The 26,731-nt window shown below is 43.5% G+C and overlaps 1 long non-coding RNA gene across 1 annotated transcript, besides 1 other annotated feature; it reads left to right on the top strand.

The window, feature by feature from the left end:
• On the top strand, positions 1–24,822 carry LINC01721 (long intergenic non-protein coding RNA 1721). Its single transcript, NR_040102.1, has 4 exons — positions 1–68; positions 11,583–12,925; positions 19,857–19,936; positions 23,938–24,822. It is a non-coding gene; the product is annotated as a long intergenic non-protein coding RNA 1721 (long non-coding RNA).
• Positions 12,163–12,705: an enhancer, noted in NCBI's record as "OCT4-NANOG hESC enhancer chr20:24192565-24193107 (GRCh37/hg19 assembly coordinates)". NCBI's record gives its function as "activates a minimal SCP1, AML or CMV promoter by ChIP-STARR-seq in naive H9 embryonic stem cells {active_cell/tissue: H9 hESC(naive)}" and the evidence as "EXISTENCE:reporter gene assay evidence [ECO:0000049][PMID:30033119]".
• Positions 24,823–26,731: the final 1,909 nt, after the last annotated feature.

Genomic DNA, 26,731 nt, shown 5'->3' on the forward strand with positions numbered 1-26,731 from the left:
ATACGACAGGAAAAATGGAGAATGGATAGTGAGGCGTGATCAGCAGGCTCTTCCATGACAACCAGCAGGTAGGGTGGATCTCTACTTGCAACTGTAAGAGACTCTGCAGAAGACACACCTTCCCGTCCTCTGCCTTATGGACTGTGAAACTGTCTTTATGTATACGGCCATCTGTTTAACTGTTACCTGGTCTGTGCAATGAATAACAGTGATTTCTTTCTGAATAATAGGGAAAATAGAGGGATGGGAGGAGGGTAGGAGGTTCGTGGGCTTTGGGCCAAATTGCTTGGGGGCTGCTGTCTTTTCGATAGTATTGGTGGTCAGTTTGGTTGAGAACTTGTACCACATGGAAGTTGAAGTCTGGAATTCATTTGTTTCCTAGAGATAGAGAAAAGGAAGTAAACGAGTAGAATACATCCAGCCACTCACAAATTTGGGGACCAAGCTGTCCACTGCCTAGCCCTCCCCTTCTCTAAGAGTAGGAGGCAAATGAGAGCCCAAGAGACTCTTGGATGAGGGCCCAACTGGGTAGTTAAAGGAAATATTTACATCAGCAGACACATTCCTTGCCTTAAAACAAGCATCCCAGAGGAAAACTGGTCCCCTCCTCAGTCTTCCCTTCAATAGCTGATTAGACAAGAAGCCCTGGGTACTTGGGCCAGGTCACCCACCTCGGATTCCCTTGGGTGCCGGTGTCCTAGGAGACAGTCCATTGCTGGCCGTGGTGGCTCAAGCCTGTAATCCCAGCACTTTGGGAGGCCAAGGTGGGCAGATCACAAGGTCAGGAGTTTGAGACCAGCCTGGCTAATATGGTGAAACCCCGTCTCTAATAAAAATACAAAAATTGGCCGCATGTGGTGGTGGGCACCTGTAATCCTAGCTACTCAGGTGGCTGAGGCAGGCGAATCCCTTGAAACCAGAAGGCGGAGGTTTCAGTGAGCTGAGATCGTGCTACTGCCCTCCAGCCTGGGTGAAAGAGCAAAACTCTGTCTCAAAAATAAATAAATAAATACAGTATGCCTCAAAACGCAGTGGGCCACTTCTCCACTGCCCTGCAGAGCAAGGAATTCTTGCTTCAATATGGATGCCTTAATATACAATTAAGTATCATTTAACGATGGGAATAAGCTCTGAGAAATGCATTGCTAGGCAGTTTTGTCATTGTGCAGACATCATAGAGTGACTTGCACAAACCTACATGGTTAGTCTGCTACACACATAGGCTATGTGGTAGAGCCTATTGCTCCCAGGCTACAAACCTGTACAGCATGATACTGTACTGAATACTGCAGCAACTGGAACATAGTGGTAAGTATTCGTGTATCTAAACATTAAAAAGTACAGTAGAAATATGGTATGACCTTATGGGATCACTGTCATTTACGCAGTTTATCACTGGCCAACATATCACGTGGAACGTAACTGAAAACATTCCAGACCCTCACTGCTGAGTGGGATTTATTTAAAGCAAGAACTGGGTCATGAAGAATCTGTTTCTGTCCATCCCAGTGAACAGTTACCAAACCCCCAGACAATATTGTTGTAAGTGGTGGCAGTTGATTCCTGTGGGTTCAGTACGATCACAGGTAAAGAATGTCTACGCACTTTACACATCTAGAAGCAGTAGACAAAATTTCACAGGGAAAGCTAGAAATCTTATCTTACTCAAACTACACAATGCCTCATTTTCCCACCATAGGGCCTGCTGAATCATTCCTGCTCCTGTGGAGATGAGTTTGGAGTTTTATGCTAACATCATCTCTGCTTCACTTTTTCTCCATGGCGAGTAATTTGAAGGGGATCACTGACCGTGCCATGGCACACAAAAGCACAACTTCAGAAACAAGATGTGGCTCGGGGACAACTTAGAGGTTATTTGAGACGCTGCAGGTTTTCAGCAGGTGCTTCCAATCCATGGACTTGGAGAAGAATGTCAGCTAATGGCTGCCACTGTGCTGCCAGGCTTCCATCCAGGGACTTTAGTAAAGTTCTGCTGAAAGAGATGTAAACCGGGAGAGGGATGGAGGCTGGATCCTGGAGTGTGAATATTTGACCATCCTTTACCCCAGCAGCACCTCCACGCAAGGTTTTACATAGCAGTGGGTTTGTGTTCCCATCAAACTGGGCCTGGTCAGGGTCAAGCAAGCCCAAGCCTCTGCCCCCGCATGCTGAGTAGGGGGGCAGTACTCCTGAAGGTGTTCTCACCAGTTCGAGGCCTGCTCTGCATAGCCTGGGCACTGCCCAACCAGGAGGATGTGTGTTTAGGAATGTTTCCCTGCAGAACTAGCTAAGTCTGGCTGTGCCTGGTTGAAGCCTCCTACATTCCAGAACATAAGCTGTGATCCCCAAATGAGCACGGTTGTCCTGCGAGAGATGTACTTTGCTCTAGTGGTCTGTGGAAGGGTAGAGATGCAACACCCTCTTGGTTAAAATGACAACTCACTTTAAGAGACACCGAAACTGTACAATCCATCCTGAAAGTCAGGTAAGTATCACCATCATACCTTGATTAATGACAACCCAGTTAAGCTTTGTCCTCCCATATCTTGTATGGCTCTCTGCAAAGGCTAAGGAAGGTTACATCTCAGACAACCAGGAAATTTGAGTATGGATTTTGTCTTCAGTTTCTCATCCTCTAAGTTGGGTTCTAGCCTCTGGGACAAGACAGCCTATGGAAGAATAGCAATGACAGCCTTGGAGCACCAAGGTCTCCTGCAGGGACAGCCGTTCTGAGGCACCCTTCCCAGGAAGAAGACCTGCCTTGTTATTAATGCAAACCTTAAGAGAAAGCTTCTGTCAGCTTCTTAAATTGTGCAAGATTGTCCAGTTTGAGAAAATTAGCTTTACGGAAAAGGCAGGCAGTGTATTATTTATTTATTTATTTATTTATTTATTTATTTATTTTAGATGGAGTCTCACTCCATGCAGTGGTGCCATCTCCACTCACTGCAACCTCCACCTCCCTAGTTCAAGCGATTCTGTGCCTCAGCCTCCCAAGTAGCTAGGATTACAGGTGTACACCACCACACCTGGCTAATTTTTGTATTTTTAGTAGAGATGAGGTTTCACCATGTTGGCCAGGCTAGTCTCTAATCCTGACCTCAACTGATCTGTCCACCTCGGCCTCCCAAAGTGCTAGGATTGCAGGCATGAGCCACTGTGCCTGGCTGGCAGACAGTGCTTTTAAAAGGAAGCCAGTGATGCCCCCACCTGAGACATGGGAATCAGCTCTCTCCAGTCAACTTGCATGGCCCAGCATGCTCCACTGGGGAACAGGCACAGTGACCTGGCACAGAGCACTGACTGTGTCCCAGGGCCCAGGTGCTCATCACACACCCAAGGGGAGGGCCACATCATAAAGCATCCCCAAACCCAGATGGCCAATGCTTCCTCCACCCTCATCTTGAACTGCTCCTAATATTAGGCTGCTTCAGCTCAGCCTGTGTTATGCCAGGCGTCCCACCCAGAATGAGCCTTCTGGCTCCTGGGGCAGTTCTGAGACTGCCCCTTCCCCTTCCTGGCTCCACACTCTCTGTTTCCCCTCAGGGCCCCCTCCCGTTTTCATCAGCAGCCAAATGAGAAACAAAGGTGAGGTGGACGGTGGACTCAGATGCACTCTTGAATCACCTTCATTTTATTCTTAATACTTTCTGTGTGTTTTCTTGGCAGCTATTTAGGGCTATTGGGATGGAAAAAGTGGCCGTAAAGCAAGGTGGGACTCAGAAAATGCATCCTCCCTGTCTGTTGGCCCTTGATGGACATAACACAGCCCCCTTCCTTAGCTCTGTGCTTGCTCGGGGACCTGGGACCCTTCTATTTTCCACAAATCCACTCCCTCTACTTGAAGACATGCCTGGCTTGCAGGAATTCTAGAATGAACACAGATTAGACTCTGACCGAGTCCTCTGTGGCATGAGACTGGACACATACCCACACACCCAGCAGCGTGCGCAGCCAGGAGGCTGCAGCTGCTTCACATGCAATCTCACTGCAAGTCACTTTTCATCGTACAGCATGTGAGTTAGATGAGACATGTAAAAGCATCTTCAAAATATGGGCAGATTGGATCAATGGACCCCATTTAAAATAAATAATAAACTCCACCTCCAGACCTTTAATAGCTCATTTCAACAGATAAAAATGAGCTGCTAAGCAGGCTTTTTTTTCAGGGTAGCTCTCCTCCTTCAGAAATGAGGATCTTGAAAGCAGAGGCCAGCATCACAGCCACGCATGTTAATGAGTCCCTCAGGCAGATAGGAAATAATTCTGCAGGAGTTGGAGTTGATATTCAGGCTCCGTCTTTATTTTCTCTGACTGATGGGGCTCATTGCTGCTGTTTTCAGACTGAGGTCCCAGCTATTAGTTGATGGTGGGCTGTAAAGCATCAGCAAATATGCAGTGCTAAATAAGATGAGAAAAATCAATATTTGTTCCTACTACATTTGTTAGGTCTGCATATGAGTAATTTTAATTTTAAAAACATGCAGCTTTAATAGGGGAATAACCAAATACTGCACACTTGCTGATTTTGGACATAAGGATAGAGAGTAGACAAGCAGCTTCGGAATCCTGAATTATTTAAATACAAATGGCCCTTCTTTTCCTCTGATGAGTGTAGAATTAATGTCACAAAACAGACAAATGGGAAACTACAGACCCATTATTAATAACAACAACAGCAGACTTTGAAACCAGAAAAGGTATGCATTGCACAGCTAAAGTGAATTTCAGGGAAGCTTTAGTTTTTGTACTTTTCTCTCAGTGCATCCCAGGAAGTTGGGTTAGTTTATCCGCTGCAGTGATGCAGGTGTGAGGACAAGGTGCCCAGCCCATTAGGGCCAAGAGGGAACATGAAAGAACCAGGACCAAGGCTTGAGGCAGCCTGGGGGAACCAAAGACAGTTGGTCGCCAAAGCCATAAACACCAAGAGGAGTAGATAAAGGAGGAGGTGAAGAAGTCAAAAACAGCCTAATTATTCTTGTCATCAAGGCATCCCAGAGTGCCCCCTGAGAAATGACATTAAGCGTCCTGTTGTCTGTGCTGAGAGTTGAAAGTTGCAGCCTTGTCCCAACCTCACTCTCAGGCAGACGCGGATCCTAGGGGCTTGGCAGATGTGAGAGCTCTCAGTGCCTTTGCTGTTTCTTTTTATCATCTGTAGAACTCACAGTCTGCAGGAGCCTTGAACTTTCTGCTGGGCTCTGGTTCTAATGAAAATACATCACAATAAAGACAAGACCATTAAATCAGCAAAGAGTGGATGTACGGGACCGAGAAAGCTTGTTGACAGCCATGAGCTCAAGGGTTTAGTTAAGTCGGAACACATGAGGCTTCACTTCCTAGGGACATTGCTCTTCTCAGTCTGAAAGCTCAGCTCAGGTCTGGCCAGGGTCCTGGTGCTATGGTCCAAGGTGAGCTGATGACTTTGGCATCCTGTTGTGACATCTTTACATTCAAATGACCAGAGATTGTGTTTCTAGTGAACTGCAAATCAGAAAAACTTTATCTCCAGGGCCTTGGAGTGAAAGAGAGGAGCAGAGGGCAGGGGAGGAGAGGGCGCTTAGTTGAAAGCAGAGCTTGGCGATCGCTTCCTCTTTCTGAGCTTTGATTGGAGCATTGCACCTCAACAAGAAATCACTCTGACTCTGATGGGCATTTGCTGGGTAACACTGCCAAGGCCATGCAGCAGGTGGCAGGAGAAGAGCTGTTCCAGCGACCTCACAAACGGGTGCAGATACAAGCAGGACTTTCCACAAGACCTTCTTTCAAATACAAGCACAGCCCTAGGGAGGCCCAAGTGTTCTTTCAGTTTGGCCTTGAAGTAGCAAGAATTTTGATGAGGAGAGAGGAGGTCTATTGGACAAGAACCTTGTGAGATGGTTTGGTGGTGAGAGTGGGGAGGCAGGGGAAGTGCGCAGAGAGACCATCGCTTCCCTCTGCTCCTTGGTCCATGACACAACATCTATTTCTCAGAAGCTCTGGGCTGGTGACTTCTCTCCAGCTGTCTGGGGGCGTCTTGTGGAATGGGAAGGACCTCTGTGATTGGTGATCTGGTGAGCCTTTTCCCCATAGGGGCCAGGTGTGTGCCCTGGAAAGTCAGTGGGTTAAAGGTCATCATTTCCTCACAGCCTTTATGTCTAGGACTCTGTGTTCTATGAGGCTTAGGGCAGCTCAAATCTTCCATGAACCTCACCCCACAAGCAGGTGGTGGAAGGGTGTCCCTGACCCTACCTAACTTTGGTGTGAACTTCCATTTTTCTAAGAATGTTGAGCATTAAGTGGCAAGTACAGTGGAAAGTTGCTCAGCATGGGTGGCAGCAGGGTAGCTGGGAGGACAACCCTAGACAGAATTGGAAAGTAAACATCGCCCATGTTCCAGGATGGATCTCCATGTCTTGGAGCAAATTTAAAACTTTTCCACTTGGGAGGGGGGTGTTAGGAAGAAGCTAGTTGTTTCCAAAAGACAAAGCTCATGGTAGTGTGGCGATACACTCAGGGGTGGTGTCAGGCCTCCAGACACAGAGTGCTCAACTGCCAAGAAGGCAGGTACAGGCAAAGAAAGATGGTGGCTCCAGGTGTGAATCTGCAGATTAAGAGTCCTGGGGTCGGAGAGGACCCAGTAGCAAAGCAAATTTGATGCATTTGTATAGTTTATGCATCAACTTGACTTGATCAAACCATGGAGTGCCCAAATGTTTGGTAATAAAATATTATTCCAGATGCACCTGTGAGGGTGTTTCTATGGGGTTAACATCTGGATCAGTGGACTGAGTAAAGCAGTCGGCTATCCCTAGTGTGGATGGGCCTCATCCAATCCACTGAGGGCAGAAAGAGACAGGAAAGCTCATGCTCACCAGCATTTCCTATAATTCCGCTACAAATCCTTCTAATAAGCCCCCCTGGTAGATTCATGGCAAAATGGTCCTATTTCTCCACCTCTCCTTGTATCTGAGCCCTCCGCAGCTCCTCCCACTGAGATGTGGAGTTCCTCTCCCCACCCCTCCAGTTTCGGCTTCCTCGTGATTCTCTTTGGCCAATAGAATGCGGCAGAAGCCATGCTATGCCCTCTGCATGACTGCTCTGGGACCCCCGTTCTGCCAGTGGCATGTGCTATTTTCAGTCACCGTTACATTGCTGTGGCAATAAGAGCAGCTGATGTTTGAACCAGCTTCAATTGCTTTCTGGCTTTTTGCTCCCAGGTGGTCCTTGGAGAAGACCTGAGCTCCTTCCTATATCTTTCTGCACAGAGCTGCTTGGCTGGGCTGAGGTGGACAGACTCTTTGATTCTGCTGCCCTGTATGGTTGCTCCCACTGTTAATGTGTCGCTGAACTGCCTCAAATTGAGCCCCCTTATCCTCTGGGGGTGGGGGGAGAAAATGCTAGCTCCGCTGTGAAGCCGCTAATCCTTGATCACTCACTGTTGTAATGTCTTAGCTCTTATCTACAAGCATGAGTCATCACCATTCTCCTGAATAACATGCTGTTCCATTCTGTTTCCATTTCTATGGACAGGGCAAGGTGACCACAGCAAGCCAGGTTTCCCAGACGATTTCTGTCGGTTGTTGAGAAAAATCAGATGGTTTGGTGGAAAAATAAGGTTTCCTGTTTTCTGGCAATTCTTCCCACACAGCACTCTGGTATCTCAACTGAACTCCACCCAGCCCTTCTTTGGGGCAGGAACCCCTCTTCCCCCAGACCCTCCTCTAAGGCCTAAAGAGCCAGGCAGGACCAGTTAATACAGGATCTTATGTCAGAAACTTAACTTCTTTAAGCTTCATATGCTCATTATATCATACGTCTGGGAATATTTTCTGTCATGGGTTATAGTGAGAAATGTAAAAATACATATATATATACATATACACCTGTGGAAACACCTACAACAATATCTGGCACCAAGAAAAAAGAGCTCAGTGAATGTTATACACTCTAGTTCCCTTCCCAAAGCATTAAAAAACAACAACAACAACAACAACAAAAACGGGCAGAATGAAGGAAAGGGTTAAAGAGCAAACTTCAGATTTTGAAGGTCAACTTGGGCCCTGGGTTTGGTAGTAAGCCAAAATCACTATCTTAGTTAAGATAGAAGTGATATGGGTTGTGTGTTTGTGTGTGTGTGCAAGCATAGGCATGTGTGTGTAATCTCCTGTGTGTGTGTATGTGTGCGTGCGTGTGTATGTGTAATCTCCTGTGTGTGTGTGCGTGCGTGTGTATGCAATCTCCCGTGCGTGCGTGCGTGTGTGTAATCGCCTGTGTGTGTGCATATGTGTGTGTGTAATCTCGTGTGTGTGTGCATGTGTGTGTGTAATCTCCTGTGTGTGTGTGCGCGTGCGTGTGTGTGTAATCTCCCATGTGTGTGCACGCACGTGTGTGTAATCTCCTGTGTGTGTGCCCGTGCGTGTGTGTAATCTCCCGTGTGTGCGTGCGTGTGTGTGCAATCGCCTGTGTGTGTGCATGCGTGTGTGTGTAATCTCGTGTGTGTGCGTGCTTGCGTGTGTAATCTCCTGTGTGTGCGTGTAATTTCCTGTGTGTGTAATCTCCTGTGTGTGTGTGCGTGCATGTGTGTAATTTCCTGTGTGTGTGTATGTGTGTGCGCGTGTGTATGTGTAATCTCCTGTGTGTGTGTGTGCGCGCAAGTGTGTGTAATCTCCTGTGTGTGCCCGTGCGTGTGTGTAATCTCCCGTGTGTGCATGCGTGTGTGTGTGTAATCTCGTGTGTGTGCGTGCGTGCGTGTAATCTCCTGTGTGCGTGCGTGTGTGTTTGTGTGTGTAATCTCCTGTGTGTGCGTGTAATTTCCTGTGTGTGTAATCTCCTGTGTGTGTGTGCGTGCATGTGTGTAATCTCCTGTGTGTGTGTGCGCGTGCATGTGTGTGTGTAATCTCCTGTGTGTGTGTATGTAATCTCCTGTGTGTGTGTGCGTGCGTGCGTGTGTGTAATCTCCTGTGTGTGTGTGGTGTGTGTGTGCGCGTGCGTGTGTGTGTGTGTAATCTAAGGCAAGGCTTGCGCCTGGGTAATTTATTTGGGAACTGGACCCTAGAGGGCAGAAGTACAGGACAAGGAGCTGAGACAAGAAAGAGGTTGATCTTCTATGTGTGAGCCCCCATGTGGGTGCACCACGCCAGTGCGATCATCTGAGGAGCTTATGAAAGGAGTCTCAGAACTGTTCACATGGAAAAAGAAAAGAGAGGGAAGTTTTTCCTCACACCCATCCTGCAGCCAAGGGGACCTCTGCTCTTCTAGGCTATTCTTGTTTCCAGTTTCTTCCCACCTGAACAGGTGAATACAACACAATATAAGTTTCTCAGAGCCAAGGGCAGAATCCTGGAGCTGGTCAGAGCGGGAACAGATGTGAACCGGTATCCTAAGGAAATAAGATTGGGGCAGAGCTTAAACTGGAGGGAAGAGCACCACCCTGGACTAAAAGGAAGTTTTCTTCCTCAAAAGGAAAACATAGAGCTTCTTGAATCCAATGAGGAGTTAAACTCAACTAGGTGATAACTCGGTTTTCAATTCTCCCGGATACTGCATCACCATTTCTATGAAACTTTGGAATCCTGGTGTCTCTACAGGCCCTCTTCCGTTTGCCCCTGCATTCATCTGACTGTCATCTAATGCCCCAGAAAGCTCATGAGGTACATGAATGATTGAGACACACAGCAGGGTAATGAATTTCAGCTCCATTCTTGGGGGAGCAGGAACAGGCAGACAAGCACAGTGAAGCTGCCCACACCAGGCGAGTGCTGTACTGGTTAATTTACCTCCCCAGTTCTGCTCAGCCCACCTATCCCCATGCTGCTTGTTTAATACAGAGCCCAGGTTGCTACCCCATCTTTTTCTTCCTCCCCTAGCACCAGCCATGTGTCCTTGAGGTGAGAGTAGGGCTCTGGCATGGCCTCCATTGTGCCCACAATGGTGTAAACCACAGCAGCCCCAGTGCCTTTGCACAATCCCAGCAGACTGTGCAGTTCTGGCTTCTCCTGTGATTTCACAAGCCACATGTGCTCCTTTACCAGGGGATAGCATTCTGGCTTTCCCACTAGCTATGGGAGTGGCTGCTGATGCTATCTGGAAGGGTGCTGGGGAAGGCAATCCCCCATGATGAGAACTTTGTCCTGGGAGAGCAGGAGCCAGGAGGGAACAGACAGATGAATCCTTTTCTCTGTTTTCCTCTGGCAGACCCTTCTGCCTGGCCTGTTTATACATGTCTCATGTGACGAGAAATTAGAAATCAGTCGTGTTTCCTTTCCTGTAAAGCTGTTGCAAGCTCAGGATCACCCTCTTCTCCCCTCATTTTTGGTGCTGTAACATTGCACCATGAAATGGTAGGCCGTGAGCTCTGCCTATATTTTACTCTATTCGTGATGTCATAACAAAATACTATAGACTGGGTAATTTATAAAAACAGAAATCTATTTTCTCACAGTTCTGGAGGCTGGGAAGTCTAAGATCAAGGTACCAGCCAGCAGATTTGGTTGTCTGGTGAGGACTGCTCTCTGCTTCCAAGATGGTGCAGACGACCAAAACGAGTGACTGAAGCAGGTGTCTCAACCAATCAAGGTGTATTGAGCCAGCCTGAGAGTGCGCCCACAACATGAGCCACAGACACAACCATTCTTTCCAAAGAGGTTCTCAGCAGGCTTAGTATTTATACATTTTTTCTTAAAAAGGAGGGGAGGCAGTGAGGAGAATGGTTACATACTTGTGAGACTTTACTTCTCACTAAATCTACATTTTACATAAGATAAGGTGAACCTTTGAAGAAAAAAGGAATACAGAAATAAAACAATTATGTAGCCAACTCAGGGAGGGGTGAAGGAATGATTAATCTCATCTTGCCTTTGTTCCGCACCTGGGGAGATAAGCTAGTAATTGACATTATCAGTGTGGAGCTTCAGGAACTAGATTTGGATTGCAGACCTAAAGTTACAATTGGCATGACCTTGCTTATGGGAGGCCAGCAAAGAAGTTACTCGTGAGTGGTCTGTGGGGCCAGACTTTCCAGATGTCTGAGGCCTTTTGCCTTTCCATGGGGTATCTGGAGGGTGCATACTGCTGGTAGCAGCTGCTTACTTGAATGACAGTGTGGCAATGACTGAACTTTAGGGCTTAATCTTCACTTTTGCATGAGGTTTTATATATATATATATATATATATATATATATATGTATATATATATATTCAATTTTACTTTAAGTTCTTGGATACATGTGCTGAACATGCAGGTTTGTTACATAAATATACATGTGCCATGTTGGTTTGCTGCACCTATCAACCCATCATCTAGGTTTTAAGCCCTGCATACGTTAGGTATTTGTCCTAATGCTCTCCCTCCCCTTCCCCCCGACCTCCCGACAGGCCCGGTGTGTGATGTTCCCCTTCCTGTGTCCACGTGTTCTCATTGTTCAACTCCCACTTATGAGTGAGAACTTGCAGTGTTTGGTTTTCTGTTCCTGTGTTAGTTTGTTGAGGATGATGGTTTCCAGCTTCACCCATGTCCTGCAAAGGACATGAACTCATTCTTTTTTATGGCTGCATAGTATTCCGTGGTGCATATGTGACCCGAGATTTTTATTTCCCTTTGCAGTGCCTTCTTGCTGCATCCTCTGGAGAGAAGGAGCCCTGCGTCCTCAGGGAAGGCAGAAGGGCAGGCAAGCCGGATACTGTGATGGTGCCTCTTCCATTCACAAGGGAGGAGCCCTCACAGCCTTGTCATCACCTCCTAAAGGCCTTGCCTTTTAATTTGATCACATGGGCCATGAAGTTTCAACACCTGAATTTTGGCAGAAATGCATTCAAACCACAGCAGACCCATTATCCTATTTCTAAGGAACCTGGGATAAGACAAGTCCATAGGACAGGCATGGACAAGCGTCCTGAGCCCTGGGGCCAGGGGAAATCCAAGGTAACAAGGGAAATTGGCGATCCCAGCCAGGTGCATGGCTAGAGCAGTTCTTTCCTTCGGAAGGGCAGCGATGGAAATTTCAGCTCTACTTTTTCCTTTTCCCGAGCTGTGTGATCTTGAGCAGCTTCCTTGCAGCTCATCCTTCATGTCCTAAAACAGATGATACAGCAACATCAGCAAGGTGGCAGACTAAGGAACTTCAGACACTACTTACTACCCCCAGAAACATTTTTTTAAAAACAATTAGAGGACCTTTGGAAAATAGTGAAAAGGTACAGGAGCCAAGCAACTGCCCATTCAAGAAAAAGCAACATTCAAAATGCAGGAGATTTTGTGGATTTGTACTCCCCCTTTCTGCACCCTTCCCTGGCACTGAGCAGTGTTGGTTTGGAGGAGGTGGCAGCCCAGCTCCCAGTTCTTTCCCTCTAATGTTAGTGAGCAGAGTCTAACCTGTCTGGGGATGGCTTGAAGGATTAGTCCTGCTTTGTTCAACTCAGAGCTCAGAATAAGAGAAGCAGTTTAATTCAGATTGCAGGCTGAGAAAAAGCTATGGAAAGCAGCAGGAACTGCTCTTAAAAACTGCAGGGAGGCTACAGAGACTGAAGATGCCTGGGCAAGAGATTTCAAATGGAAGCATGTAATAAACCCTCTAAGGGCACACAAAGAAGCTGGAACAAGACTTTTGGAAAATTAAGATGTCTAAAAGGAGCCATGTTTATGGGGAAATAGTTAAAGCCACATGAAGGCTCAGACGAGATGCATACTCAGAAAAAACCTGAGAAGATCTTAAGCTACTCCTTGGGCTGACTCCAAGGCTCAGAACATGTCCTGAGAATTAGTGAAGATCTTCCCCATCACATAGCCTGTCCGCAAATACTAGGAGAAGTGGCTGTTTTTTCAAATTCTTAATTCTCAACAACGACAACAAAAATCACAAGGCGTACAAAGACACCAGAAAATACAACTTCTTCAGGGAAGAAAATGAATTGTCGGAAACCACCCGTAAATCCAAGAAAATGATGGAGGCAAGTCTCAACCTTTTTAGAAGTATATTTTGCCGAGGTGAAAGACACGCCCAGGAGAAAGGAACACGTACCCACAGGAAACATCTGCGGTCTGTGCTTTTTCCACACAGGGTCTGGGGGCTTCATTATTTATAGGGAAAACAGCAGGCAGTAGGTGAAAGAGGAAGAGAGAAAAAAAGGGAGGGTAGGTAAGGCGAGCAGTTGCATTCCTTTCAGTCTTTTGATTATTTTCACTGAGTCCACATTTTTCATGTGAAAGAAGCCGGCTAAGGAAAAGTCAATTATGCATTCTTCTGGTTCCGTGAATCTGCGTTTTTAACATAAGATAAAATAATCATAGAGTATAGGAAGCAGTCAGGTACGGATTTGTCTCAGTTGAGCAGAGAGAGGACTTTTTGTTCTGTCCTTTGCCCTATGCCTGTGAAGATAAGCTGTTAATAATGTACATTGTCAGGGTGAAATTTAACAGAACCACTTTAGGGTAAAGATCTTGGGGCCCATAGGAAATTTTCTTGTGAGAAAAACTTGAGGAAGGATGTAGCCATCTATTTGGGAACAAAATAGGAGGCAGGTTTGCATGACCCAGCTCCCAGCTTGACTTTTGCCTTTGGCTTAGTGAGCTTCAGGTACTGAGATTGTATTTTTCTTTCACACACCCTTGAAGAAACATGCAAATATCAATTAAAAGAGAGGAAGTGTGGCTATATTAACATGAAATAAAATACACTTTAAGTCAAAAACTGTTACAAGACACAAAGAAGGACATTAAATATAGTTGAAGGGTGACTTCATCAGGGAGCAATGACAATTATAAACACATATGCACCAAACATTAGAGTGCCTAATTATTTGAAGCAAACATTGACAAAATTGAAGAGAGAAATAGATAGTTCTACAATAATGGTAAGACACTTCAATGACCCTACTTTCCACAGTGGATGAAACAGCCAGAAAGAACATAGATAAGAAAATAGAGGACTTGAACAGCACTATAGACCAATTGGATCTAATAAATATATGCAGAACACTCCACACAACATACGAGGAGTACACATTGTTCTCATGTAAATGTGAAACATTCTCCAAAACAGCCCATATGTGTGATATTATATATATAACATACATATTTTATATGTATCATAGATATTATATATCTCTCTATAGAATTAATATATAGATATAGATAGAGAATGGGATTGTCCACAGTTTCTGGCTCATAACTCCCATCATCCTTGTTATAATGTTGGGTGCTTTAGGCCTCAGAAGCAGACCTCAAAAACAGAATCTCTCTCTCTCTCTCTTTCTCTCTCTCTCTCTGACCTCCACCCTCCTTTCATCTGATCATTTTTCTCCACAAGACAACACTCTAATTTTTCCCACCTTTCCATAAAGGTCATCTGACCTATCTTGTCTGATGAGAAAACTCCTGCCCCATACCCTGGAGATGGGAATGCTGCAGAGAGAGGCCAAGGTGCATCTGAGTACACAGGCCTTGCTGAGTTTCCCCACTCATTCTATTAGCACTAGATCACACCCTTTTTGCCAAATCACATTTCTAACCTATGTTACAAATCCTTTATAAAACCCCAAAGAGGACATGTTGGGGAGCTTCTGGATAGCTGAACATGTGGAGGCTCCTGGAGTGTGAGGCACAAGGAGAGCATGGAAGCTCCGCGCCCTTTCCGCCATGCCTCACCCTATGCACCTTTTCATCTTTATCCTTTGTAACATCTTTTATGATAAACTAGTAAATGCAAGTGTTTCCCTGAGTACTGTGAGCTGCTCTAGCAAATTAGCCTAACACAAGGAGGGGGTCATGGGAGTCCCAATTTACAGCCAGTTGGCCAGAAGGCTCATGTCCGTGGCAGAGTTTATTGCTTGCTTGCTGGTGAGGAGAAATGCTGACAGTCTGTTCACAGAAATTGTCTGTATTGATTGTTGTGGTGTGAGAGCAGAGAAAAAAACTTTGTGTTATTTTTTAATTCACAATATATTAGGTCACAAAATAAGTCATAATATTTCAAATATTGAATCATACAAAATATTTTTTTCAGAATGGAATGGAACTAGAAATAAGTTACAGAAGGGAAACTAGGAAGAGGAAAATATAGAGAATCGCAATTTACCACAACAGAAAGCCCAGAGCAGCAATCCTTGTGGGAACCAGTGTGGGGACAGGAAAGCCTGAACTATAATTTGCAAATTGCTGGAGGCTTAGAGTGGACAAGTCTGAGAAGTAAAATCTCCAAGGGGACCTTTCCATTGTGGGCTATCCAAATGCTATGGTTTGAATGTGTCCTTTCCAAAATACTACCCATTGAATGGGATAGTATTAAAAGGTAAGGCCTTTGAAAGGTGATTAGACCGTGAGGGCTGCTCCCTTGTGAATGAGATTAATGCCTTTATTAAAGAGGCTACGGGCAGTGTTCAGTGCACTTGCCCTTCTGCTTTCCACCATATGAGGACATGCTGTTTCTCCTCTCTGGAGGATGTGTTATTTGAGGCACCATCTCAAAAGCAGAGCCCAGGTCGTCAACAGGCAACCAAACCTGCTGGCACCTTGACTGTGGACTTCCCAGCTTCCAGAACTGTGAGAAATTAATTTCTCTTATGTATAATTTACCCAGTCTCAGGTACTCTGTTATAGCAATACAAGTGGACTAAGACACCACCCTTGTGTGAGTTTTAACTTCTGGAGCTTTATTAGAGCCTCACAGTGAATATCACAGAAAAACTCCCTCATGCTTCTGGCAGGAAGAGGTGAAAAGGAATCATTTTAAACTATCCCAAAGCATTCTGTTTTCTTAACAAGGTCTGCCCTCAGGAGAAACTATTCAACCAGAGCCTAACGTGATGACGTTTTATAAGAGCCTAAGTGTCCTGGAGAAAGGGGAATACCCCAGCAGCCATGGGGTACCATCTAATGGAGGGGGAAGGAATTGAGAAGCACAAGTGAAGTTCACGATACAGAGGCACAGACTCACTAAAAGGCTGACACTTCATCATCTGACCATAAGACTACAGAATGCTGGCCTTCCTTCTCATATGACCACCACATGGCTAAAAGTCTGTTTACTGCAGTCCCTTTTATCAAGTATATTATTTATGGTTACCAATTAAAAATTATAAGACATCTTAAGAGGTAAAAACACGGTTTGAAGAGATAGAGCAAGCATCAAAACCATAATCTGATATAGCAGAGGTGTTGGAATTAGCAGACTGAGAATTTAAAACAACTAGAATGAATATGCTAAGAGCTGTAATGGATAAATCAATTGGCATGCAAGAGTGTCCGGGAAGTGTAAGGAGAGAGATGGAAATCCTAAGAAAGAATCAAAAATACATGCTGGACATCAAAAACACTATAACAGAAGTGGAAAATGCCTTTTATAAAAAACACATTTTTATAAAAAGGCATTTTTAGGCACATTAATAGACTGGACACAGACAAAGCTGAGAAAAGTCTGTTTTCAGCTTGAGGATATATCAGTAGAAACCTCCAACACTGCAAAGCAAAGAGAAAAAGACAGAAAAGAGAAACAAAACAGAACATACAGGAACTGTAGGACAACTACAAAAGGTATAAATATGTGTAATAAAAACTCTAGAAGGAGAAAAAGAGAGAGAAAAGAACAGAAGAAATAGTTGAATTTATAATGACTAAAAATTTCTCCCAAATTAATGTTTGGCACCAAACCACAGATCCAGGATCTAATAGACATCTACAGAACTCTCCACCCCAAATCAACAGAATATACATTCTTCTCAGCACCACATAGCATTTATTCTAAAATTGACCACATAATTGGAAGTAAAAAACTCCTCAGCACATGTAAAAGAACAGAAATCATAAGAGACAGTCTCTCAGACCACAGTGCAATCAAATTAGAACTCAGGATTAAGAAACTCACTCACAGCTGGGTGTGGTGGCTCACGCCTGTAATCCCAGCACTTTGGGAGGCTGAGGCGGGTGGATCACGAAGTCAGGAGTTCAAGACCAGACTGGCCAAGGTGATGAAACCTCGTCTCTACTAAAAATACAAAAATTAGCCAGATGTGGTGGCAGGCACCTGTAATCCCAGCTACTTGGAGGGTTGAGGCAGGATAATTGCTTGAACCTGGGTGGCAGAGGTTGCAGTGAGCCAAGATCATGTCACTGCACTCCAGCCTGGGTGACAGACTGAGACTCCATCTCAAAAAAAAAAAAAAAAAAAAAGAAAAAGAAAAAGAAAAAAAGAAGCTCACTCAAAACCGCACAACTACATGGAAACTGAACAACATGCTCCTACTGGATAAATAAGGAAATTAAGGCAGAAATAAATAAGTTCTTCGGAACCAATGAGAACAAAGAGACGATGTACCAGAATCTCTGGGACACAGCTAAAGCAGTGTTTAAAGGCAAATGTATAGCACTAAATAAGCATATTAGAAAGTGGGAAAGATCTAAAAGCAACATCCTAACATCACAATTAAAAGAACTAGAGAAGCAAGAGCAAAGTCAAAAACTAGCAGAAGACAAAAAATAACTAAGATCAGAGTAGAGCTGAAAGAGATAGAGACAAGAAAATTCCCCATTTTTAATCAGGTTCTCACTTAGGTGAGAATGTGACCAAAACTTAGGGCCCTAGCACCACTGTGAGTTACCATCATTTTGGCTTTCTGGTCTCAGCATGTCATTCATAGGTTACGGTGTCCTCATGGTCACATATTTCTTTCAGGTCTTGTCATTCTAGTTGAAGAGAGACCATTAGACATTCCAGACATGGCTGCATGCAGGCATTGAAAACTTTTGAGAGAACACAGTGCACCAGGGAGACTACTATTATGACTATTGGGAAGATAATATCGAGAGTTTGGAGTATGGTTCTTACCCAGGATCCCCATAAACCAAACCATCTAAAATGAAATAGATCAAACAATGAGCTAGATAAAGAGTCTGCTCGCTTAACTAAGCAGTCTCTTTTCTAATCCCCTACAACTGAATCTCTATACTACCCAATGTTTTCTCCATGTGCCACAAGTGTCAGCAGCTGCACAGATACTTCTGTTTAGCCAGTAAGTAATCTAGAGTAAATCTATTATTTAGCATAACTTTCACAAGAGAATTTAAGGTCTGTTGTGTAACCATAGCCTTTACAGTAGAATCTGCTATAGAGCCTATCATGAGGGATACATTTTTAATCATTGCCTCTTTTACTCCAAACCATGGAAAAAGGACCTAACAAATGATGCCCTTATAGAACAGTGAAGCCCTCCTGGCAATGTTCTTTTTAACCCATGATGTGGGTTAAGAAGAGTGAAACAGTGCTCTGTTTCTGACTATGAGGCAACATATGTACCATTAAAGTTTCTCACCTACATTGGGCCTTCATCTTTCATCTATCAAGGTATAAGGTTATCCATGCATAAGGCTGGCTGCAAAATCCTTTGCAAATAAAAGTATACCCATAAGTGCACACAACAGATCCCCTTTTCATTTCTATTGTTCATAGAGGCATAAGCAAGGGAAAAATATGCAAAGATAAGAGTTTTATGATAGTAGAGAAGTCTTGATCTGTGATCTTAGAAAAAGCTGTTCACATCAAGGATGCCATCTTCTTTTGGGGATAAACTTCCCTGGTTAGCTTTACCTTAAGTGTTCCAATGGGTGTACAGTTCCAAGAGTGTGGAGGGACCCTACTCAGTTGTGAAATTATGAACCCAATGTTCAAGGTCCTGAAGTTTAGTTTCAGTGTGGATGGCAAGGTCTGTCTTTCTCTGATATTCTCAGAAGATCCAGTGTTTGGGTTCTAGATTGTGAAGGGGTTGATTGTCCTCAGTCTGTGAACCATAAAAAGCTTTCTTTACCTGGTGAAAATAGACTGTGGCATAATAATCTACTGTTATAGCATTAGCCTTCTTGCTAATGGGAAAGCTTTTATACAACCAGAAAACATGCATTGAAAATGACAATGGAATGAAATTCCTCTATAAATGTTTAAATGGCTCATCAAGTAGCTGAATGTTTCTGAAGCTTTCATTGTCTTCCCAGGAATACGGATTTGACAAACCAAACATTGGTCATAAACTACTTTAGCAATTTAGAAGTCACCATACCAATATGTATTTAATTTCGTTCATTTTATCTTTTCCAGGATGTATCATGTAATGTGGAACTTTTAACTACAAAAGCTATAAGAACTTAGGAAGGGCAGGGAAGCTGTCCTGGTTCTCCATGAGTCCATGCTTAACATTGGACTTATGTCGTCTTGAATACCAGTTGTTTCTCCAATTTAGGCGCACAGCACTGATAACTAATGGGTTACTCTAGGTAATTTGACTTAGACCATGGAGTTTATTCAAATTGTATATCTAAACAATTTCAGTGTTGGCTGATTTAGGATGAAAATATGGCAAAATATTTTCTTGGTTTCAATTAATTTTTGTTCTCCTTGGGTTAGCAGTTTTATAAACCAGTCAGTTTTTTCAGTAAAGTTCCAGGAATTCCTACCCAGTCCAAATCATGATTTTAAAGTTACCAGAAACCTGTATTAAAGAGTGCTTTTCAGGGTCCTTTTCATCCTTTCATGAACCTCCTAAAAGATACCATATTCTCAGTTTTTGTGTGCTTGCAACGTTTTCAGAAACTGCATCAGCATTAAGCAATTAACAGTGGAAATGACTTTAAATAGTCACAATTAAAGACACAACTGACAAAGCAATCTAGTTATTTCTGTGGTTTTAATAACATAATAATCATAATTATGATTGATAGCATATACTCAGACATATTCGAATTTTACCATGACATATAATTTTGGAACATATATTAATGTCATTCACTAAAATATAGCCTGAAGAAAGTTATACATTATTTTTTATTTTGACAATGCTTCCCATGTAACTTGGAATGTCAGATAGTCCTGTTTTCCTCTTTTTTTGGATGTTTCAGGGACTCTCTGTAGTATTGTGTCCGGAATTGGTGGGTTCTTGGTCTCACTGACTTCAAGAATGAAGCCGCGGACCCTCGCGGTGAGTGTTACAGCTCTTAAGGTGGCGCGTCTGGAGTCTGTCCCTTCTGATGTTCAGATGTGTTCGGAGTTTCTTCCTTCTGGTGGGTTTGTGGTCTCACTGGCTCAGTAGTGAAGCTGCAGACCTTCGCGGTGAGTGTTACAGCTCTTAAGGCAGCGCGTCTGGAGTTGTTCGTTCCTCCCAGTGGCCTCGTGGTCTCTCTGGGCTCAGGAGTGAAGCTGCAGACCTTCGGGGTGAGTGTTACAGCTCTTAAGGCAGCGCATCTGGAGTTGTTCATTCCTCCCGGTGGGCTTGTGGTCTCGCTGGGCTCAGGAGTGAAGCTGCAGATCTTCGTGGTGAGTGTTACAGCTCATAAAAGCAGCATGGACCCAAAGAGTGAGCAGAAGCAAGATTTATTGCAAAGAGCAAAAGAACAAAGCTTCCACAGTGTGGAAGGGGACCCGAGCGAGTTGCCACTGCTGGCTCCGCAGCCTGCTTTTATTCTCTTATCTGGCCCCACCCACATCCTGCAGATTGGTAGGGCCGAGCGGCCTGTTTTGACAGGGCGTTGATTGGTGCGTTTACAATCCCTGAGCTAGATACAAAGGTTCTCCACGTCCCCATCAGATTAGTTAGATAAAGAGTTTCGACACACAGGTTCTCCAAGGCCCCACCAGAGCAGCTAGATACAGTGTGGATTGGTGCACTCACAAACCTTGAGCTAAACACAGGGTGCTGATTGGTGTGTTTACAAACCTTGAGCTAGATACAGAGTGCCGATTGGTGTATTTACAATCCCTGAGCTAGACATAAAGGTTCTCCAAGGCCCCGCTAGAGCAGCTAGATACAGAGTGTTGATTGGTGCACTCACAAACCTTGAGCTAAACACAGGGTGCTGATTGGTGTATTTACAATCCCTGAACTAGACATAAAGACTCTCCACGTCCCCACCAGACTCAGGAGCCCAGCTGGCTTCACGTAGTGGATCCCACACCGGGGCTGCAGGTGGAGCTGCCTGCCAGTCCCGCACCATGCGCTCGCACTCCTCAGCCCTTGGGTGGTCGATGGGACTGGGTGCCCTGGAGCAGGGGTGGTGCTCGTCGGGGAGGCTCGGGCCGCACAGGAGTCCATGGAGTGGGTGGGAGGCTCAGGCATGGGGGGCTGCAGGTCCCCAGCCCTGCCCCGCGGGAAGGCAGCTAAGGCTCGGTGAGAAATCGAGCACAGCGCCGGTGGGCTGGCACTGCTGGGGGACCCAGTACACCCTCTGCAGCCACTGGCCCGGGTGCTAAGTCCCTCATTGCCCGGGGCCAGCAGGGCTGGCCGGCTGCTCCGAGTGCGGGGCCCTCCAAGCCCACGCCCACCCGGAACTCCAGCTGGCCCGCAAGAGCCGCATGCAGCCCCAGTTCCCGCTCACGCCTCTCCCTCCACACCTCCCTGCAAGCTGAGGGAGTGGGCTCCAGCCTTGGCCAGCCCAGAAAGGGGCTTCCACAGTGCAGTGGTGGGCTGAAGGGCCCCTCAAGTGCCGCCAAAGTGGGAGCCCAGGCAGAGGAGGTGCCAAGAGCAAGCGAGGGCTCTGAGGACTGCCAGCATGCTGTCACCTCTCAGTATCTCAAAGTTAGAGGTCAGAAAAGACCATTTTGAAGCTGAAATTTGATTGTGGGAAGTCTAACATATATATTAAATGTTTAAAATACTTGATATAAAATAGAATTCCAGGTCACCATAAGTCATTCATTTAGCCAAAATGATGACTTAAAAATTTTTTTAAGCAAAAAAACTTTACTCATTGATAGAGGGAAGACTTAGCTTTCCAAACAATCTGTCTCTTGTCTTTCCCTTCCTTTTTTGGTAGTTTATTCAAAAGGCAAACAAAAACCTTTCATTATCCTTTAATATTACATGAAAGTCTTTTTCAAGATAGAAAGCCAAATTTCACCCTTGCATTAGTGTACTAGTAATGTTAACTCCAATCTTTAATAAAACCTTATAGACAAATTTATCCAATCTTAATGTGTTTGACCCTAAGGTAAGATTCTCATAAACCTTTTATAACCCTTTACAAATTTTTGCTAAGGAGCAGATCAGTGTTCTAGGAAAAAGTCTGTTGTACCTTTATTCCATTGTTCAATTTCCAGATAAACTGAATAAAACCCTTTTGATTTTAGCCAATATATTAACACATATAATTTTTTACAAGATTTTTTTTTACAAATCTTTTACAGCTTGCTCAAGTGTTTAGCTTTATTCTATCTCATTTAAAACAATCATTTAACCTTCTAACCTAGGCAAAAATGTACATTCTTATGGCTTCTTATAATCTTTTCCTAAAGGTGCATTTCACTGTCCTTACACACCTTGCATGTAAAACTGTTTCTTCAGTAGTTTCAAGTATATGTTACACTGTTACCTCTCAGCAACTTTTGGTGAAAAATCTGGCTAGTTAGTGATTTTATTTAGGTACTAGGTGTGGAGCCTAGGGCACCAGACAGAAGTGCAGATAAAAAGACTCTTTCCAGCATAGCTAGGGAGCATGGCTATCTCCACATGTTCCTAGGCCTTACTTAGCTGTAAAGTAGGCAACTTGAACAATTTTCAAAAGCCAAAGAAGCAGTTTATGACCTTAAAGCGTCTAGCAAACCTAGTACCTGACCTGCCTAATTTAGACCAAATGTCTTTATTTTACCAAAGATTACTGAGGTCACATGAACTAAAAGTGTTATAGTTTTTTTCTTTCAAAATATTTAAGTGCTTATTTTTCTTTAAGCCAATTAATCAGAGTTCTTCTATATAAGCACCACACACACAACACATATGTAACTACACAGACAGACAGAAGAATATCTAATAATTGTAGGGCTTTTCATTTGCCAGTTTCTTAATTGGATTACTGGCTTCAGGGTGCATCCCTTCAAGGAACAGAGCCAGGAGAGCATGTAGTTCCTAGGGCCTAATAAGCAGGCACACCTGTAAGGCAAAAACAGTTCTCCAAAGTTAAGGGTCCCGTTTTTATTTTGCATCATGGATCATGGATCCCAAAAAAGAGGGAAATGCTATGGGAGAAGACAGCGCAATGCATTTTATTGCAAAGCAACCCAAAGCCAATCAGCCCATTCTGTGATTAGCCCAAAACTCAAAACCTTTAGCTAACACAATGCAAAGCAGAACAGAGCTTTACATTTTTGAGAGAGATCCATCCACTTTCAATTCCTGGGGTTTCTTGAGGAAAGCACGTTTTTCCCAGTACAGATCTATGGTGCTTCCTCTGTTTTTCCCAAGGAGTGCCAAGCTGTTAGAAGTTCTCTTAAGTCCTCTCCTATGTGCATCAAGAGTGGCAAGACAAAAACAGAGAAAAATAATTCAATCAACTGAGAAAAAAGAGAAAAAATCCTTTTTCCAGAAAAACAAGATTCAAGAAGAGAAAAAAACAAACCATAAAAGGGCTTTTAAATATAGGTATAGCTTGGATATCAATTTTTAATTAAGCTGACTTTTAACCATAGTACTCTTTAAAGAAAACAAAAGTCCTTCTAAATTTCTTATTAACCCACTTTAGTCAGGCTAAACAGCTGGCTAATACTTCTGGCTTTTGAACTTTACCAAAAGTAACCTCACAGGTGAAACCAACAAGCCTCAACTAAGGTTATGACTTAACCTTGGCATACAAAGTATTTTCAAAAAGGAGGTAAGCAGTTTTTACAAAATGTAGAATTTTCAAAGGTAGCACAAAGAAAGAAAAATTCAAGAAGGAAAGCCAGAAGTTGTTCATGGAGAAGACAATCAACAAATGGCAAAGGTCACACAGATACCAACCAGCAGTACTTATTCCCTAAGCCAGGATTGAACCCAGGCCATCACTGTAAAATGGCAAAGCCTTAGCTGCTGAGTTGTAACATTAGGTAGTTTACATTGCTCTTCCCAGAAGAGTATAGAGCAGTCAATTTTGAGCTTGCAATGGTTTTTAAGTACCCAAAATAATTTTTAGAGCTAACTATGACATAAACCTCAAAATTCTTGTTCCTTAGACGGCAGAGACCAAGAGAAAATACTGTTACATGGTTACAAGATCAAGTTCACAAGGACATAAACAAGATGGAGACCTCATCCCGTTTCTTCGTTTGTTTCAGGGATCTGTAACAAAGTTTATTACTGACCAGCTTGCTGGGCTATCTTGAACAGCAAGCTTATGGGGTCCTAAGCTCATGTTCTATTTTAAGGTACCTCTCTTCATGGCAGAATGACACAGAAAGACAAATTCACAGCACAAAGTTCACCAGATTCGTTACAGCTTAAGACTAGCCTCATGAATCCTTTTTCCTATTAATTAAAACTTTGCAAGAGATAGTGATTTTTACCATTCCCGCATCCATTTTGCACAGTGAAGGAGTGAGAGAGAGAAGAATTGTCTGCGCTATCTAAGGTGAGGAGTTCAGGGGGGCCAGAGAAAGACCCACCCATTGCAGAGACACTGAATTAATAGTTCAGGTGGCAGCTGGTTGGTTGATAAAGAATCTTTTCCAGTCCCATCAGCTCTCAACTTTTCCCCTTTGGGGAGAAAAAGTTCTCCATGTTCCAAAGTCCTGTATATGCCTAATCCTGTCAGCCATAGCTGCCAGCAAAGAGTGCAAGGCAGATTAATCCAAAGAGAATAGTGGTTAAAATCCTATAGTGCCAAGTCCACTTTTGACCAAGAGGGACTTTACTGCACCCCATCCCATCCTTTACCTAGGTAAAATGTACCCCATTGCTTACCCAAAGTCAGCCAATTGGTACTGCAGTCTATTTCCTTTGGAATGGGATAGCAACTTAGCTAAAAGGTTAGCAGATTTAATTTTTTTAAGTATATTTGTCACTTAAGCTTTTTATTTGCCTTTCACAAAGTCGTTAAATAAAAATGCCAAAATCTTTTTAGAAACTTCTGCGTATCAATAAGTATTCCCAGATGAGACTAATTTGGAAGCCCTCATTTTCAAATGCACTTCAGTGCATTGTTGTTCATTTGGAACATTCCACTGTAAGTTATCTTTAGTAAGATTTTACCATTTCTGTAAGGCTTTGGTGCTTCCAGGGCCTAATACTTATTATTCATGTATAAGCCAGAAGGAACTCAGTTCTTCAGAAATTAAAGATTCCATTTTTATCTAAGATATTGGCTTTGCTCACAGGTTCCCTTGATTAACTTAGCCAGTGATTTTTCTTTTCCTACCTAAGTACTCACGAAAAATGAAACAAAGGGGTAAAACACAAAAATCCCCGTGAATTTCCAAAAGCCAAATTTTACACCCCCTACAACATTACCATTTACTACCAGTACCTTTCTGACCCAGTCAGACCTAAGAGACCTGTAACTGGATTCAAGCCAGTTAATTAGTCAATCAAACCCACTCCTAGACCCAGTCCAGTTTCTGTCATGACTTCCAAACCGAGTTTGGGTCAGAAATTAGCTCAAAGAAACTCAGAGAACTCAAAGCACAAATCCATGGAGCTCTAAAACTCAAGAGAGAACTTACCATGATCCCCAGTGGCTCTGAGAGATCAATGGACACAAATGGATCCTGTTGGTACCTCACTTGTTCACTTAGCGCCCCTGGGGGTCGTTAGAAGCTCTACTTCAGACCTTGCTTCTGACATCATCTGATAAAAGAAAAACCTCAGCCAAATTAAATTTGAAGGAGTGCAATGGAGCAATGAACGACTCGCGAATTGGGCAGCCTTCCCTGACAGAGTAGGCTTGGAGGCTCCGGCACAGCCACATGGTGGAAGAAGATTTATGGACAGAAAAAGGAAAGTGACACACAGAAAATGGAAGTGAGACACAGGAACAGCTGGATTGGTTACAGCTTGGTGTTTGCCTTATTTGAACATGGTTCAAACAGTTAGCTACATTTGATTGGTGAAAACTGGGTGACTGGCACGAGTGTAGGCTATGGTCTGTTTACAACTCCACTTGTTATAGTTCACGATGTACAGATAAACTCTTAGACCAAACTTAAAATACACAGGGAGGCAACTTTAGGCTAAACTTGATTTAACAGGTCTAACAGATAACTGTTCAAGTATCAGCCAAGTATTTGATTGTGCGTGTTTATAAGAAAAATGAACAACTGGAAAGATACAAAGAAAGGGATGGGAGAAAGGAATTAGGATTATTTTGTTATTATAAGGTGCCTACATTGTCTATGAAGTACTATGATCTTATTTGAGAGTGGATTTGTAGTTTTTGTAAACTGCAAACTCTACAGCAACCACTAAAAAAGTACAACTTGTATACTAAGATAGGAGGCAAAATGGAAAAAATCAAATAGTTAAAACCACAAAAGGCAAAAAAAAAAAAGAGTGGAGGGCAAAAATTGGAAAAAAATTAAAAAGTCAACAAATAGAAAACAGTAATAAATATGACACATAGTAATCCAACTATGTCAGCAATCATTTTGAATATCAGTGGCTTAAGTGCACCAGGTAAAACACATAGATTGTCAGAGTGAATAAAAAAACAAGACCCAACTACTTTCTACAAGAAACGTACTTTAAATTTAAAGACACATAAAGCAAATAGGTAAAGAAAAATATGCCATACTAACACTAATAAGAAAAAGTGCAATCAGTTATATTAATTTCAGAGCAGATTTCAGAGTAAAACTTATCATGAATAAAGAGAGGCATTACTAAAGAATAACGGTGTCAATGAATTCTCTAAGAAATAATAATCCTTAACATGTGTGCATTTAACAACAGAATGTCAAGACACATGAGGCAAAAACTGACATAACTCCAAGAAGGAAAAGATGAATCCACTTTTAGAGTTGCAGACTTCAATAC

The sequence above is a fragment of the Homo sapiens genome, chromosome 20, assembly GCF_000001405.40.
Source record: "Homo sapiens chromosome 20, GRCh38.p14 Primary Assembly".
Classification (NCBI taxonomy): Eukaryota; Metazoa; Chordata; class Mammalia; order Primates; family Hominidae; genus Homo; species Homo sapiens.